Genomic DNA, 12954 nt, shown 5'->3' on the forward strand with positions numbered 1-12954 from the left:
CAGCAGAGTGCCATTTTCTGCATTCACCTGATGTTCCTTAAAGATGAAATAACTATACATAACTGTGAAATGTAAAATTAATGTTATGCTCACAGTTTTTGCTAATATATTAATGGTGTAGAAACAAATTTGCATATCAAAATATGCATACAAAACAAAACTGACTACATCTTGTTCGAAATCATCATTGGCATCATCATCATCATCGTTATCATCACCATGATTACTTAACATTTTCATGAGTTGATTTTATCATAACTTCTTGGGCATAAATTTTATCTGTAAGAATGTTTTATTGAAACACTTTAATAACAATTCTGGGAAATAATTATCTTTCAGAATAATGTGAAAATCTATTATCGCAATTAGAGAATAAATCCATAAGATGATATTTGGCTCCTATGAAGCTTTTGTTTTTGGCTTGCAGACTCTCCTTTGGAGACAAATAACAAGATAACAATTATCTTGTTATTTCTCTCAGTTCCAGGTAAACAAAAGGTGCCTAATACAAGCATATTAACCTGACTTGACTTAACTCAGAGGAAATGAAAAGTTCCAGCCAAGTAAGGTTAACTCAGACAAAACTCAGTTACCCTTTTTGAAGTCCTTTCCAAAATCAATGGTGATTTATTTCAGTGACCCCCCTTAAAGCGTACATACATTTCCACAGAATCAGCGTATTAATCTGTTCTCATGCTGCTATGAAGAAATATCTGAGACTGGGTAGTTTATAAAGAAAAGAGGTTTATTGACTCACAGTTTTGCATGGCTGGAGAGGCCTCAGGAAACTTAACAATCATGGCAGAAGGCACCTCTTCACAGGGCGGCAGGAGAGAGAATGAGTGCTGAGCAAAGGTGGAAACCCCTTATAAAACCATCAGATCTTGTGAGAACTCACTCACTATCACAAAAACAGCACGGGGAAAACTGCCCCCATGATTCAGTTATCTCCACCTGGTCCCTCCCTTGACATGTGGGGATTATTACAATTCAAGGTGAGATCTCGTTGGGGACACAGAGTCAAACCATATCAATCAGGGATAGGCACCCATGTGTGAGGGCAGTAGACAGAATCCAAGGGGCAAATAGATGCTGTGCCTTAAGAAAAGATTAGTACCTTTGACTGTTTATCTGGATTTTGCTAGTAGGTTTCTTTTTCCTGCAGCAGTAAAACCATCCCAAGCTCTGAGGAGTACCACTGACATACCCACTCCATTTGTGGTCCCTGAATGCTCTTTGACCCGTTTGAGGAACCAGGAGATAATTAGTTTCTAAAATATGATTTGAGAACATCCACTCTCCAACCACAATTTATTGAATTATCTGTACTACTAATTGATTTAATTCTAACAATGACTCTCTCAGAACCTTACTGCGGAAGGGAGCCTGGATATTTTAGTCCATTTCCTTTTCTCCCCACTCTGATTTCTTGAGAAAAAAATAATAGGGTTAACTACTGCAGAGCAATTCCTTTAGGAATGTAACAAATCTGCATTACTTATCGCTAGAAATTATGAGTGGATGATAATGATTTGAATGATTTGCAGGTTTCTTGATAGTTTTCTGCAAAATTAGACCAGGAAGGAGTGAGTTAGTAGGAAGTTGAGCTTGGTGGAGGCCATGAACAATAAGCTTGAGAAGCTTGAGGAGCATATTAATTGACTTAACTCACATGTGACCATGATTATCAGTACCTATTATTTGGAATGCAGAAATTCAAGAATGTTACTAAATCAGTTCAACACCAATCTCCAAAGGTCCCATTGGCTTAAATTAAACCTGAGACTCAGCAAAAAATGAAACCAAATCGTGGGTATTGTATAAACTCTGTTTTACTATTGAAAATACAAACTGAAAAACTGATTTTATGCACCACTTAGCTGCTGTTAAATTCATCTTCAGTGACTTATCGATTTGTAATGACACTGGGAAAAAGAGAGATTACACAGTGCTGGAATCTTATATTCTCTAAATAAGCCCTTCAGTTAAAACACAAACACATATTATATAATCACATAAAATAAAAATATAATATTATGGAAAGATAAATATTAAGCCGTTATTTTAATTTATTTGTAAAGTTAACAAAATTTAATGCATTAAACTTATACTCAAACATTTGATACTACAAAATTTTATGCTCTTTTTCTCAAAAGGGAAAATGGCATAAAACTTAAGTAAAAATTAATATATAAGAATGCTCCTGTTCTTGAATTAACTAACCCACTGCCAAATAAAGGTAATGGTATAAAATGTATTGCGATGCTTGCACCAGGAATCTGATGTGGGATATCAGGAGAATGTTCTATGATACCTCTGAACCAGACTTTGTAAAGCAGCTTTTATTATTCAGGATTGGCATTACAGGTCTATTACTTAAACTCATATTGAGGAGTCAGGAGAAAGGAGTTGCAGACATGAGCTGTCAGGGCCTATGGGTCTTGCTGTGTGGACACGAGTTGTGGAGAGGGAAAATGAAGCTGATATGCACAAAGATGCAGAAATAAGGAGCAGGGAGAATCTCATGTAGTCCAAGTCCACAGAATTCCCACCTGTACCCTAATCCCACTCCAGGCTTCTTATTATAAGTGCTCCATTAATTCCATGGATTAATGTATTTCTCTTTTTGCTCAAGCCGCCTAGGATTTTTTTTTTTTTTTTTGCCAATGGCAATCACACCATTCTAAGTACCTTTCTGTTCATCCCGTAATGAGGGCTTTTTGTGGCTCTGCAGCCCTGATCTTCCTTCCTGAACTCTCACATGTTCTTTCAGCACACATCTGAGTGATTCATCTGATGCTACCACTTTAAATGGGCTGCATTTCTGTTTAAAGTAGTCACCACGTCATAGAAAGCACTGCATACTTGAGTGGCAGAAATTAAAGTTGCTAGCTAGTGAGCAAAAATGAATACTAATTCTAGCTGCTCCTGAGTCCAGAGAGCGGCACACTCCATCTCAGTGAAGTAGCTCTTTCTGAGATTCCTCATCCGTGGGGCTTTTCAGTTAATCAAGAGAGTATGTCCAGGCTAGTCTACTTAGGCAAGGTCGAGGCAAGAGGAAGCTAAATGGCTCTGCCTGAAAAGAGAAGACAGGAATTTTTAAAGTGGGTAAGTCACACTAAGGCCACAGGGGTTCAACAGCATATCTATGTGTAACACAACAACTAACTGGGCGACTATGCGGAGAAAAAGCTCCCTTATTTCCAGAGTTTCTTCTTGGTTTCTGAGTAACTGAAGTTTCTGGTTAACAGGAACTTCTCCTCCTGTTCAGGATTGGAAAATTCAGCTCCTTTATGTTGATTCTGGCACTTCCATGAGATTCAGGAGTCAAGCTTTTCTGGGTAAAATGGAAAAGCTTTTGCACTGACTCATCTTGGCTGAGGGCTATCCTGGACTCCAAGGCTCTGCTTTGCGGTGGCAACACAGCAAGACCATCACTCCTTCAGGGATTATCTTATTACTTTTTGAAAATGGTTTTGGCTCATATTTATTACCTATCTTATTGATAACCAGCCTTTTAAGTTGGTTGGTTATTCTTAGTAAACTTCAGCTTATTTTGCTTCTGCTTTCGTATTAGAATTTTAGTTTTGTAACTTTCATGAATTTAAGAAACTTAAATTTTAAACAAAGGAAACTAGTACATATTTCCAGGATGGTTCCTTCTAACAATAAGTGACATTTATTTAATTTTTACACAGTGGATTAAGTTTTTGGCTGAGGGGCCATTATGTCTTCTTTTTTTTTCCTATGATGGGTTATTCCTCAAGGTAAATTTGTGCTTTAATTTAATTCTTCAATGTACCTTTTGCCTGTGAATAATGCCATTTTAGTGAATTTTACATTAGTTAAAAAAAAATCCTGATGATGGTCTCTAAATCCAGGTTTCAGGGGGAAAAAAGAGGGTCTCTTGTTATCATAAGGGAGGGAGAAAGAACAGGAAGGGGGTGCACTGTTTTACAGGGTAAGGACAGACAATGGCTGGGGATGGAAAAAAGGGACGGTTAGATGGAGATTTGTGTGTGTGTGTGTGGAATCCTAGGGATCTGTTGAACTGAACCTTCAACAATCCTGCACAAATCATCATATTCTCCATGCAACTGAATTTCTTACAGAGGCTGGTGAATAGGGTTAAATTCTGAGTTAAGGTTGCGCAGAGGTTAAAAGAACAAAGCTTAGCAGCAAGGATTATTTGAAATTTCTTTTAATGAGAAAAACTATACTTTCAATACACAAAAGTAAACTGTTCAAATTGTATATTATTTAATTCAGAAACCTGGCTCTAAGTAGTATGGTGTCTGAATAGATAACATTAATAGAAGTATAGTCTGGTCATAAAAATTAATTAAAAGCAATCAAGTTGATATTGTTAAGCAAGTTGGAGGGAAACTAACTTTTACACTGCAGTAACATCTAAAAATCCCCTTCTCAGTTCCTTTCTCTACCAATATCTCTCCATTCCTCTGACTGCTGAGAAACCATTCTCCGTATCCTCCCCTCTGTAACCCCAAACAAACCCCATTCCAATCCCAAACTCCAATCCCAACCCAAACCTTCTCCAAACCCAATAAATAGCAACATAGATTTATTGAACATCTACAATCCATGAACACTCATTTTGATTGATGAGGATACATTTGTGGATAAAACAGAGAAGCAGTTCTAGTTCTCATGATCCTCTGCCCTTCACCCTGTGGAAAAAGTAGGCAATAAAAAGGCAGATGATAAGTAAAATATGTAATATGTCAGACGCTTATAAATGATAAGAACCGACAGAGAGTCTTTGATGTCTGCTGGAGGAGGTGGTGGCTAGTGAAGTCTTCCTGAGGAGGGGATTTTTAGTAGAAACGTTAAGAAAGTGAAGAAGCAAGCCATACAGGCATACAAGGAAGAACATTCCAGGCTGAGGGAATGGCAAGAACCTACAATTTGTGTTTGGAGAAATTCTGGCATCTTCAAGGCTGAAAAATGGGGCTTGTCTGATTGAAGGACAAGGTACAAGGAAGAAGTTAGTAGGAGAAAGGGCCAGAGAATGTGTATGAGTATACACATAACAGAAAGGCTTCTCCCTTTATTCAGCATAAGATTGAGGCGTTTGAGAATTTCTGAGTGAAAGAGTCCCATGATCCGATTGTGTTCTACAAGCACTGAATTGAGAAGAGACTGAAGAGAGGAAAGTGCAGAGGCAGAAAACTCCATGAGGAAATGTGTATCATAATTCAGAAGAGAATCAATGATGTTTTGGATCATAGAGTTATGGTAATGGGAGGGATGCGAAGTAGAAGTAGAAGAATCCTGAATATATGTTGAAGATTGTATCAGTGGGATTTTTTTTTTTTTTTGAGACAGGGTATTGCTCTGTTGCCCAGGCAGGAGTGCAGTGGCATGATCATGGCTCACTGCAGCTTTGTCCTGTTGGGCTTAAGCAATCCTCCCACCTCAGCCTCCCAAGTAGCTGGGACTACAGGTGCATGTGTGATCACATCTGGCTAATTTATTTTTTTTTAATTTTCTTTGTAGAGATGAGGTCTCACTATGTCGTGCAGGTCAGTCTCAAACTCCTGATCTAAAGTGATCCTCCCACCTCTGCCTCCCAAAGTTCTAGGATTGTAGGCGTGAGCTACTGCACTCAGCTGGGATTGCTTTATGATAGACTACATGAAATAGATAAAGAAAGAGTGGAATAGCCATTACTGATGAGAGCAAAGGCTGAGGGTGAGTTGGTTTGAGAAGGAAAACCAGGAGATCAGCTATGAACGTATTAAGTAGGAGATGTCCCCTATATACTCAAATGGATAGGTCAGGTAGGTAGCTGGATATATAAGTTTGGGTCTGGATTTTGGAGACGAGTCTGAGCAGGAGATTTTAACATGGGACTCATCAGAATGTAGGTGGTGTTTTATGCCATGGGACTGGCTGAAGTCCCTAAGGGAGTGAGTGAAGACAGCATAGGGAAGAGATACAAAGATTGAGGCTCAGAAATGCCAACATTTAGAAATGGGGTGAAGAAAAGGAGCACAAAGGAGACAAGAAGGAGCAGCCAGAGAGATGGAAAACAATGTAAGTTTACTGATCTGGAGGCCCAGGGATGAAAGTGTTTCCAGGACCCAAGTGTAATCAGGTGGGTTGATGCTTTTGATAGGTAAAGTCTGATGAGTACTAAAAAATGATCGTTGGAGTTAGTGATATGGAGACCATTAGTAACCTTGAGAAGAGCAGTTTCAATGAGTGATAGAGACCAATTATGATTCGAGAGGGTTTGTTAGAAAAGAAGGACAAAAATTGGAGACAGTGAGTTATAAAAGGCCATTTTCAAAGAGTTTTGTTATTGAGGAAAAGAGAGAAAGGGATAGCTAGAAAGGAAAGCAGAGCCAGGAGAGAGTTTTTTGCCGTATGCATTCACTCTGGTCTGGGAGAAATGTTCATAGGCTAACAGTTTTCATCTAGTAAAGAGGAGGAAATGATGACTCCGAAGAAAAAGGGAGAATTGCCAGAGCAATGACCTTGAGTGACCTTGAGTGGGCATGAAAGGCTGGGAACTACAGCACAGGCCAAGGAGAGCTGGAGCTCAGTGAAGAAGACAAGGGGCAGGGTTTGGACTTGGACGCAGGTAGGTGGGCATCGACCTGTCGTGGGAGCTTGAGAAATTGTCACTCATTCTGCTTACATTTCTCAGAGAGGTAGGAATCAAAGTTGTTGGCCGAGAGTGAGGATTGTTAGGGAGTTTTGGAAGTGTAATAAGAGAAAAGCCAGAATGAAATGGTCACTCAGTATAGTGGGGGAGTTTGTTCTGGGGAGACATAGTAGCTCCATGAAGCTTTTCTTGGAGTACGTCAAGGCCTCTGGAGCAGGGAGGTCCCCTTTAACCATGAGATCCTGCAGGAGGCCTATTCTCTGTATTGCTGTCTCCTGTGCTCAGCATAGACAAGTTCAAGACAGACATTCAGGATAAATGCAATCATGTGAGGTTCATGCCCTGTCTGCATCGTCCCCAGAAGCATGCAGTGCTACGGAGCCATTCATGAACAGGTTGAATGTCCTCTATGATGGGCAAGGCATCCGCAGGCCAATGCAGTAGCTCTTCTGCTGGTGACGGGGCACTTGAAGGGAGGTGCCACAAGTCAGACAACTGTTCCAAAGAGGAGGGGTACTACACTTTGGTTAGAGAAACCTCTATGTCATTAATAAATGAGGAGCAGCCCCTTAGAACCCCTTTACAAATTCAGCATGGAAGGATCACTTGGCGGTGAGTGATTGTACTCGTAAGTCAAAACCAGCTAGAACAGTTGTGTTTTCTTTCATCCATGTTCAGCCACACAGGGGCAGCCATGGAATAAGAGGGTGTAGTTTGCTCAGACAAATATCACAAAGAAACGGGCATGGGAGTGAGGGCCCATTCAGGAGAGGGGTGATGTTGGTTGATCAGGGTTAAAGCTGATGAGAGAAAGAAAGGGTGAGGTCAGGGGAATGAGGAAGAATGAATAATAATTGGCAGGATTACATAATCACTGAAACTCCAGAGAGAGTGAGCTAGAAAGTTAGCAGATGGCACTCAGAGACAGAAAGGTTAGAAATCAACACCATAGAGGGTTTATAGTTACTGGAACAGCAGGTTCAGGAGTTTGGATCTTGCGTTAACTTCCACTTTTCCTTTTTCTCTTTTTCTACATGGCTCCACTTTCTAAATGTAAATTGTCCTTTCTAAGTTGGTAAATGCAGAATCTTACCTAAAAGAGTGGTGTGGGGAAGGGAGGGGTGTAGGTTTGGTGGAAACCTACAAAGAGAGCTGATAGAACACAGGATGGGGGGATGTTGAATACTTTCCCTTGAATATCTTTTTTAAGCCTTGAAAATCATCTGTATTTGTAACTAGGATGATTGATGATTATAGTTCAATAAAATAATCTTATGTCTCTCATTTTTCTGCAGTATGAACAACCAGTTGAAAACTGAGAAAAATCTGTATAATCAACACTTATTTAGATAACGCAACGACATCAGTAACTTCACTCTTTTCCACTACTGAATTGCCTAATTGTTTTCCCTATTGGAAGGACACAGTATGAACTTGAAGGCTCATACAGGCCCCCAGATAGTCTGGTACCATAGTAAGGGGCCCATTTGCTCTACATTAAACATTTGTTTGAGGTTTTCTGAGAAGGCCATTACTAAATAGGAAAAGAGTTTTGGCAGGGGTAGGGGTGGGGTGGTGAGAGAAGGAGAACTTTAGATTCTTTGGGGAAAGTTAATGATGGAGTTATGAAACTACCAACGGAGGAAGCTGTCAAGAAGTTAGGAGATCCTCAAAATATGTCAACTCATATGAAGAACAGGCACATAATTTTGATAGTAATTGCATGCTAAGTGTTCTAGATTGGGATTATTATTGGTCATTGGTGACAACTGATGAAGATTTCATCTGCAATATCTAACCACTAAATGAAGACTGCTTAACAAGTTAAGCTAATGAATTTATATTTGACTTAAAAGCCACAGTTATTTTAAAATTTTATATAATACATGTAAAATTATGCACTCACATAATGCATGTTATATATAATATATATGTGTGTATTAAATGTATAAATAAATTAAAAAATATATATCCCAATAATAAGTGTCTATAGCCTCTTGGTAATTAGGTTTTTAGTAAAATGTTTTCCTCTGTAGCAATGTTATTTCTTTTTTTTATTTTTTATTTTTTATTATTATTATACTTTAAGTTTTAGGGTACATGTGCACAATGTGCAGGTTAGTTACATATGCATACATGTGCCATGCTGGTGTGCTGCACCCATTAACTCATCATTTAGCATTAGGTATATCTCCTAATGCTATCCCTCCCCCCTCCCCCCACCCCACAACAGTCCCCAGAGTGTGATGTTCCCCTTCCTGTGTCCATCTGTTCTCATTGTTCAATTCCCATCTATGAGTGAGAACATGTGGTGTTTGGTTTTTTGTCCTTGTGATAGTTTACTGAGAATGATGATTTCCAATTTCATACATGTCCCTACAAAGGACATGAACTCATCATTTTTTATGGCTGCATAATATTCCATGGTGTATATGTGCCACATTTTCTTAATCCAGTCTATCATTGTTGGACATTTGGGTTGGTTCCAAGTCTTTGCTATTGTGAATAGTGCCGCAATAAACATACGTGTGCATGTGTCTTTATAGCAGCATGATTTATAGTCCTTTGGGTATATACCCAGTAATGGGATGGCAGGGTCAAATGGTATTTCTAGTTCTAGATCCCTGAGGAATCGCCACACTGACTTCCACAACGGTTGAACTAGTTTACAGTCCCACCAACAGTGTAAAAGTGTTCCTATTTCTCCACATCCTCTCCAGCACCTGCTGTTTCCTGACTTTTTGATGATCACCATTCTAACTGGTGTGAGATGGTATCTCATTGTGGTTTTGATTTGCATTTCTCTGATGACCAGTGATGATGAGCATTTTTTCATGTGTCTTTTGGCTGCATAAATGTCTTCTTTTGAGAAGTGTCTGTTCATATCCTTTGCCCACTTTTTGATGGGGTTGTTTGTTTTTTTCTTGTAAATTTGTTTGAATTCATTGTAGATTCTGGATATTAGCCCTTTGTCAGATGAGTAGGTTGCAAAAATTTTCTCCCATTTTGTAGGTTGCCTGTTCACTCTGATGGTAGTTTCTTTGGCTGTGCAGAAGCTCTTTAGTTTAATTAGATCCCATTTGTCAATTTTGGCTTTTGTTGCCATTGCTTTTGGTGTTTTAGACATGAAGTCCTTGCCCATGCCTATGTCCTGAATGGTAATGCCTAGGTTTTCTTCTAGGGTTTTTATGGTTTTAGGTCTAACATTTAAGTCTTTAATCCATCTTGAATTAATTTTTGTATAAGGTGTAAGGAAGGGATCCAGTTTCAGCTTTCTGCATTAGGCTAGCCAGTTTTCCCAGCACCATTTATTAAATAGGTAATCCTTTCCCCATTGCTTGTTTTTCTCAGGTTTGTCAAAGATCAGATAGTTGTAGATATGTGGCATTATTTCTGAGGGCTCTGTTCTGTTCCATTGATCTATATCTCTGTTTTGGTACCAGTACCATGCTGTTTTGGTTACTGTAGCCTTGTAGTATAGTTTGAAGTCAGGTAGCGTGATGCCTCCAGCTTTGTTCTTTTGGCTTAGGATTGACTTGGCGATGTGGGCTCTTTTTTGGTTCCATATGAACTTTAAATTAGTTTTTTCCAATTCTGTGAAGAAAGTCATTGGTAGTTTGATGGGGATGGCATTGAATCTATAAATTACCTTGGGCAGTATGGCCATTTTCACGATATTGATTCTTCCTACTCATGAGCATGGAATGTTCTTCCATTTGTTTGTATCCTCTTTTATTTCATTGAGCAGTGGTTTGTAGTTCTCCTTGAAGAGGTCTTTCACGTCCCTTGTAAGGTGGATTCCTAGGTATTTTATTCTCTTTGAAGCAATTGTGAATGCGAATTCACTCATGATTTGGCTCTCTGTTTGTCTGTTATTGGTGTATAAGAATGCTTGTGATTTTTGTACACTGATTTTGTATCCTGAGACTTTGCTGAAGTTGCTTATCAGCTTAAGGAGATTTTGGGCTGAGACAATGGGGTTTTCTAGATATACAGTCATGTCATCTGCAAACAGGGACAATTTGACTTCATCTTTTCCTAATTGAATAGCCTTTATTTCCTTCTCCTGCCTAATTGCCCTGGCCAGAACTTCCAACACTATGTTGAATAGGAGTGGTGAGAGAGGGCATCCCTGTCTTGTGCCAGTTTTCAAAGGGAATGCTTCCAATTTTTGCCCATTCAGTATGATATTGGCTGTGGGTTTGTCATAGATAGCTCTTATTATTTTGAGATATGTCCCATCAATACCTAATTTATTGAGAGTTTTTAGCATGAAGGGTTGTTGAATTTTGTCAAAGGCCTTTTCTGCATCTATTGCGATAATCATGTGGTTTTTGTCTTTGGTTCTGTTTATATGCTGGATTACATTTATTGATTTGCATATATTGAACCAGCCTTGCATCCCAGGGATGAAGCCCACTTGATCATGGTGGATAAGCTTTTTGATGTGCTGCTGGATTCGGTTTGCCAGTATTTTATTGAGGATTTTTGCATCAATGTTCATCAAGGATATTGGTCTAAAATTCTCTTTTTTGGTTGTGTCTCTGCCTGGCTTTGGTATCAGGATGATGCTGGCCTCATAAAATGAGTTAGGGAGGATTCCCTCTTTTTCTATTGATTGGAATAGTTTCAGAAGGAATGGTACCAGTTCCTCCTTTTACCTCTGGTAGAATTCGGCTGTGAATCCATCTGGTCCTGGACTCTTTTTGGTTGGTAAGCTATTGATTATTGCCACAATTTCAGATCCTGTTATTGGTCTATTCAGAGATTCAACTTCTTCCTGCTTTAGTCTTGGGAGAGTGTATGTGTTGAGGAATTTATCCATTTCTTCTAGATTTTCTAGTTTATTTGCATAGAGGTGTTTGTAGTATTCTCTGATGGTAGTTTGTATTTCTGTGGGATCGGTGGTGATATCCCCTTTATCATTTTTTATTGCATCTATTTGATTCTTCTCTCTTTTTTTCTTTATTAGTCTTGCTAGCGGTCTATCAATTTTGTTGATCCTTTCAAAAAACCAGCTCCTGGATTCATTAATTTTTTGAAGGGTTTTTTGTGTCTCTATTTCCTTCAGTTCTGCTCTCATTTTAGTTATTTCTTGCCTTCTGCTAGCTTTTGAATGTGTTTGATCTTGCTTTTCTAGTTCTTTTAATTGTGATGTTAGGGTGTCAATTTTGGATCTTTCCTGCTTTCTCTTGTGGGCATTTAGTGCTATAAATTTCCCTCTATACACTGCTTTGAATGTGTCCCGGAGATTCTGGTATGTTGTGTCTTTGTTCTCGTTGGTTTCAAAGAACATCTTTATTTCTGCCTTCATTTCGTTATGTACCCAGTAGTCATTCAGGAGCAGGTTGTTCAGTTTCCATGTAGTTGAGTGGTTTTGAGTGAGTTTCTTAATCCTGAGTTCTAGTTTGATTGCACTGTGGTCTGAGAGACAGTTTGTTATAATTTCTGTTCTTTTACATTTACTGAAGAGAGCTTTACTTCCAACTATGTGGTCAATTTTGGAATAGGTGTGGTGTGGTGCTGAAAAAAATGTATATTCTGTTGATTTGGGGTGGAGAGTTCTGTAGATGTTTATTAGGTCCTCTTGGTGCAGAGCTGAGTTCAATTCCTGGGTGTCCTTGTTAACTTTCCGTCTCGTTGATCTGTCTAATGTTGAGAGTGGGGTGTTAAAGTCTCCCATTATTATTGTGTGGGAGTCTAAGTCTCTTTGTAGGTCACTCAGGACTTGCTTTATGAATCTGGGTGCTCCTGTATTGGGTGCATATATATTTAGGATAGTTAGCTCTTCTTGTTGAATTGATCCCTTTACCATTATGTAATGGCCTTCTTTGTCTCTTTTGATCTTTGTTGGTTTAAAGTCTGTTTTATCAGAGACTAGGATTGCAACCCCTGCCTTTTTTTGTTCTCCATTAGCTTGGTAGATCTTCCTCCATCCTTTCATTTTGAGCCTATGTGTGTCTCTGCAGGTGAGATGGGTTTCCTGAATACAGCACACTGATGGGTCTTGACTGTTTATCCAATTTGCCAGTCTGTATCTTTTAATTGGAGCATTTAGTCCATTTACATTTAAAGTTAATATTGTTATGTGTGAATTTGATTCTGGCATTATGATGTTAGCTGGTGATTTTGCTCGTTAGTTGATGCAGTTTCTTCCTAGTCTCGATGGTCTTTACATTTTGGCATGATTTTGCAGTGGCTGGTACTGGTTGTTCCTTTCCATGTTTAGTGCTTCCTTCAGGAGCTCTTTTAGGGCAGGCCTGGTGGTGACAAAATCTCAGCATTTGCTTGTCTGTAAAGGATTTTATTTCTCCTTCACTTAT

The 12954-nt window shown here is 39.0% G+C and overlaps 1 long non-coding RNA gene across 2 annotated transcripts in view; it reads left to right on the top strand.

Moving 5' to 3' along the window:
* The first annotated feature begins 2894 nt into the window (after nucleotides 1-2894).
* The window catches only part of LOC105374666 (uncharacterized), a 41940-nt gene continuing 31880 nt past the window's right edge, over nucleotides 2895-12954 (top strand). For both annotated transcript variants that reach the window (XR_925809.3, XR_001742615.2), the window contains exon 1: nucleotides 2895-3108. This is a non-coding gene — a long non-coding RNA (uncharacterized LOC105374666). The remainder of the gene's footprint in view (nucleotides 3109-12954) is intronic.

The sequence above is a fragment of the Homo sapiens genome, chromosome 5 (genome assembly GCF_000001405.40).
Source record: "Homo sapiens chromosome 5, GRCh38.p14 Primary Assembly".
Taxonomy (NCBI): Eukaryota; Metazoa; Chordata; class Mammalia; order Primates; family Hominidae; genus Homo; species Homo sapiens.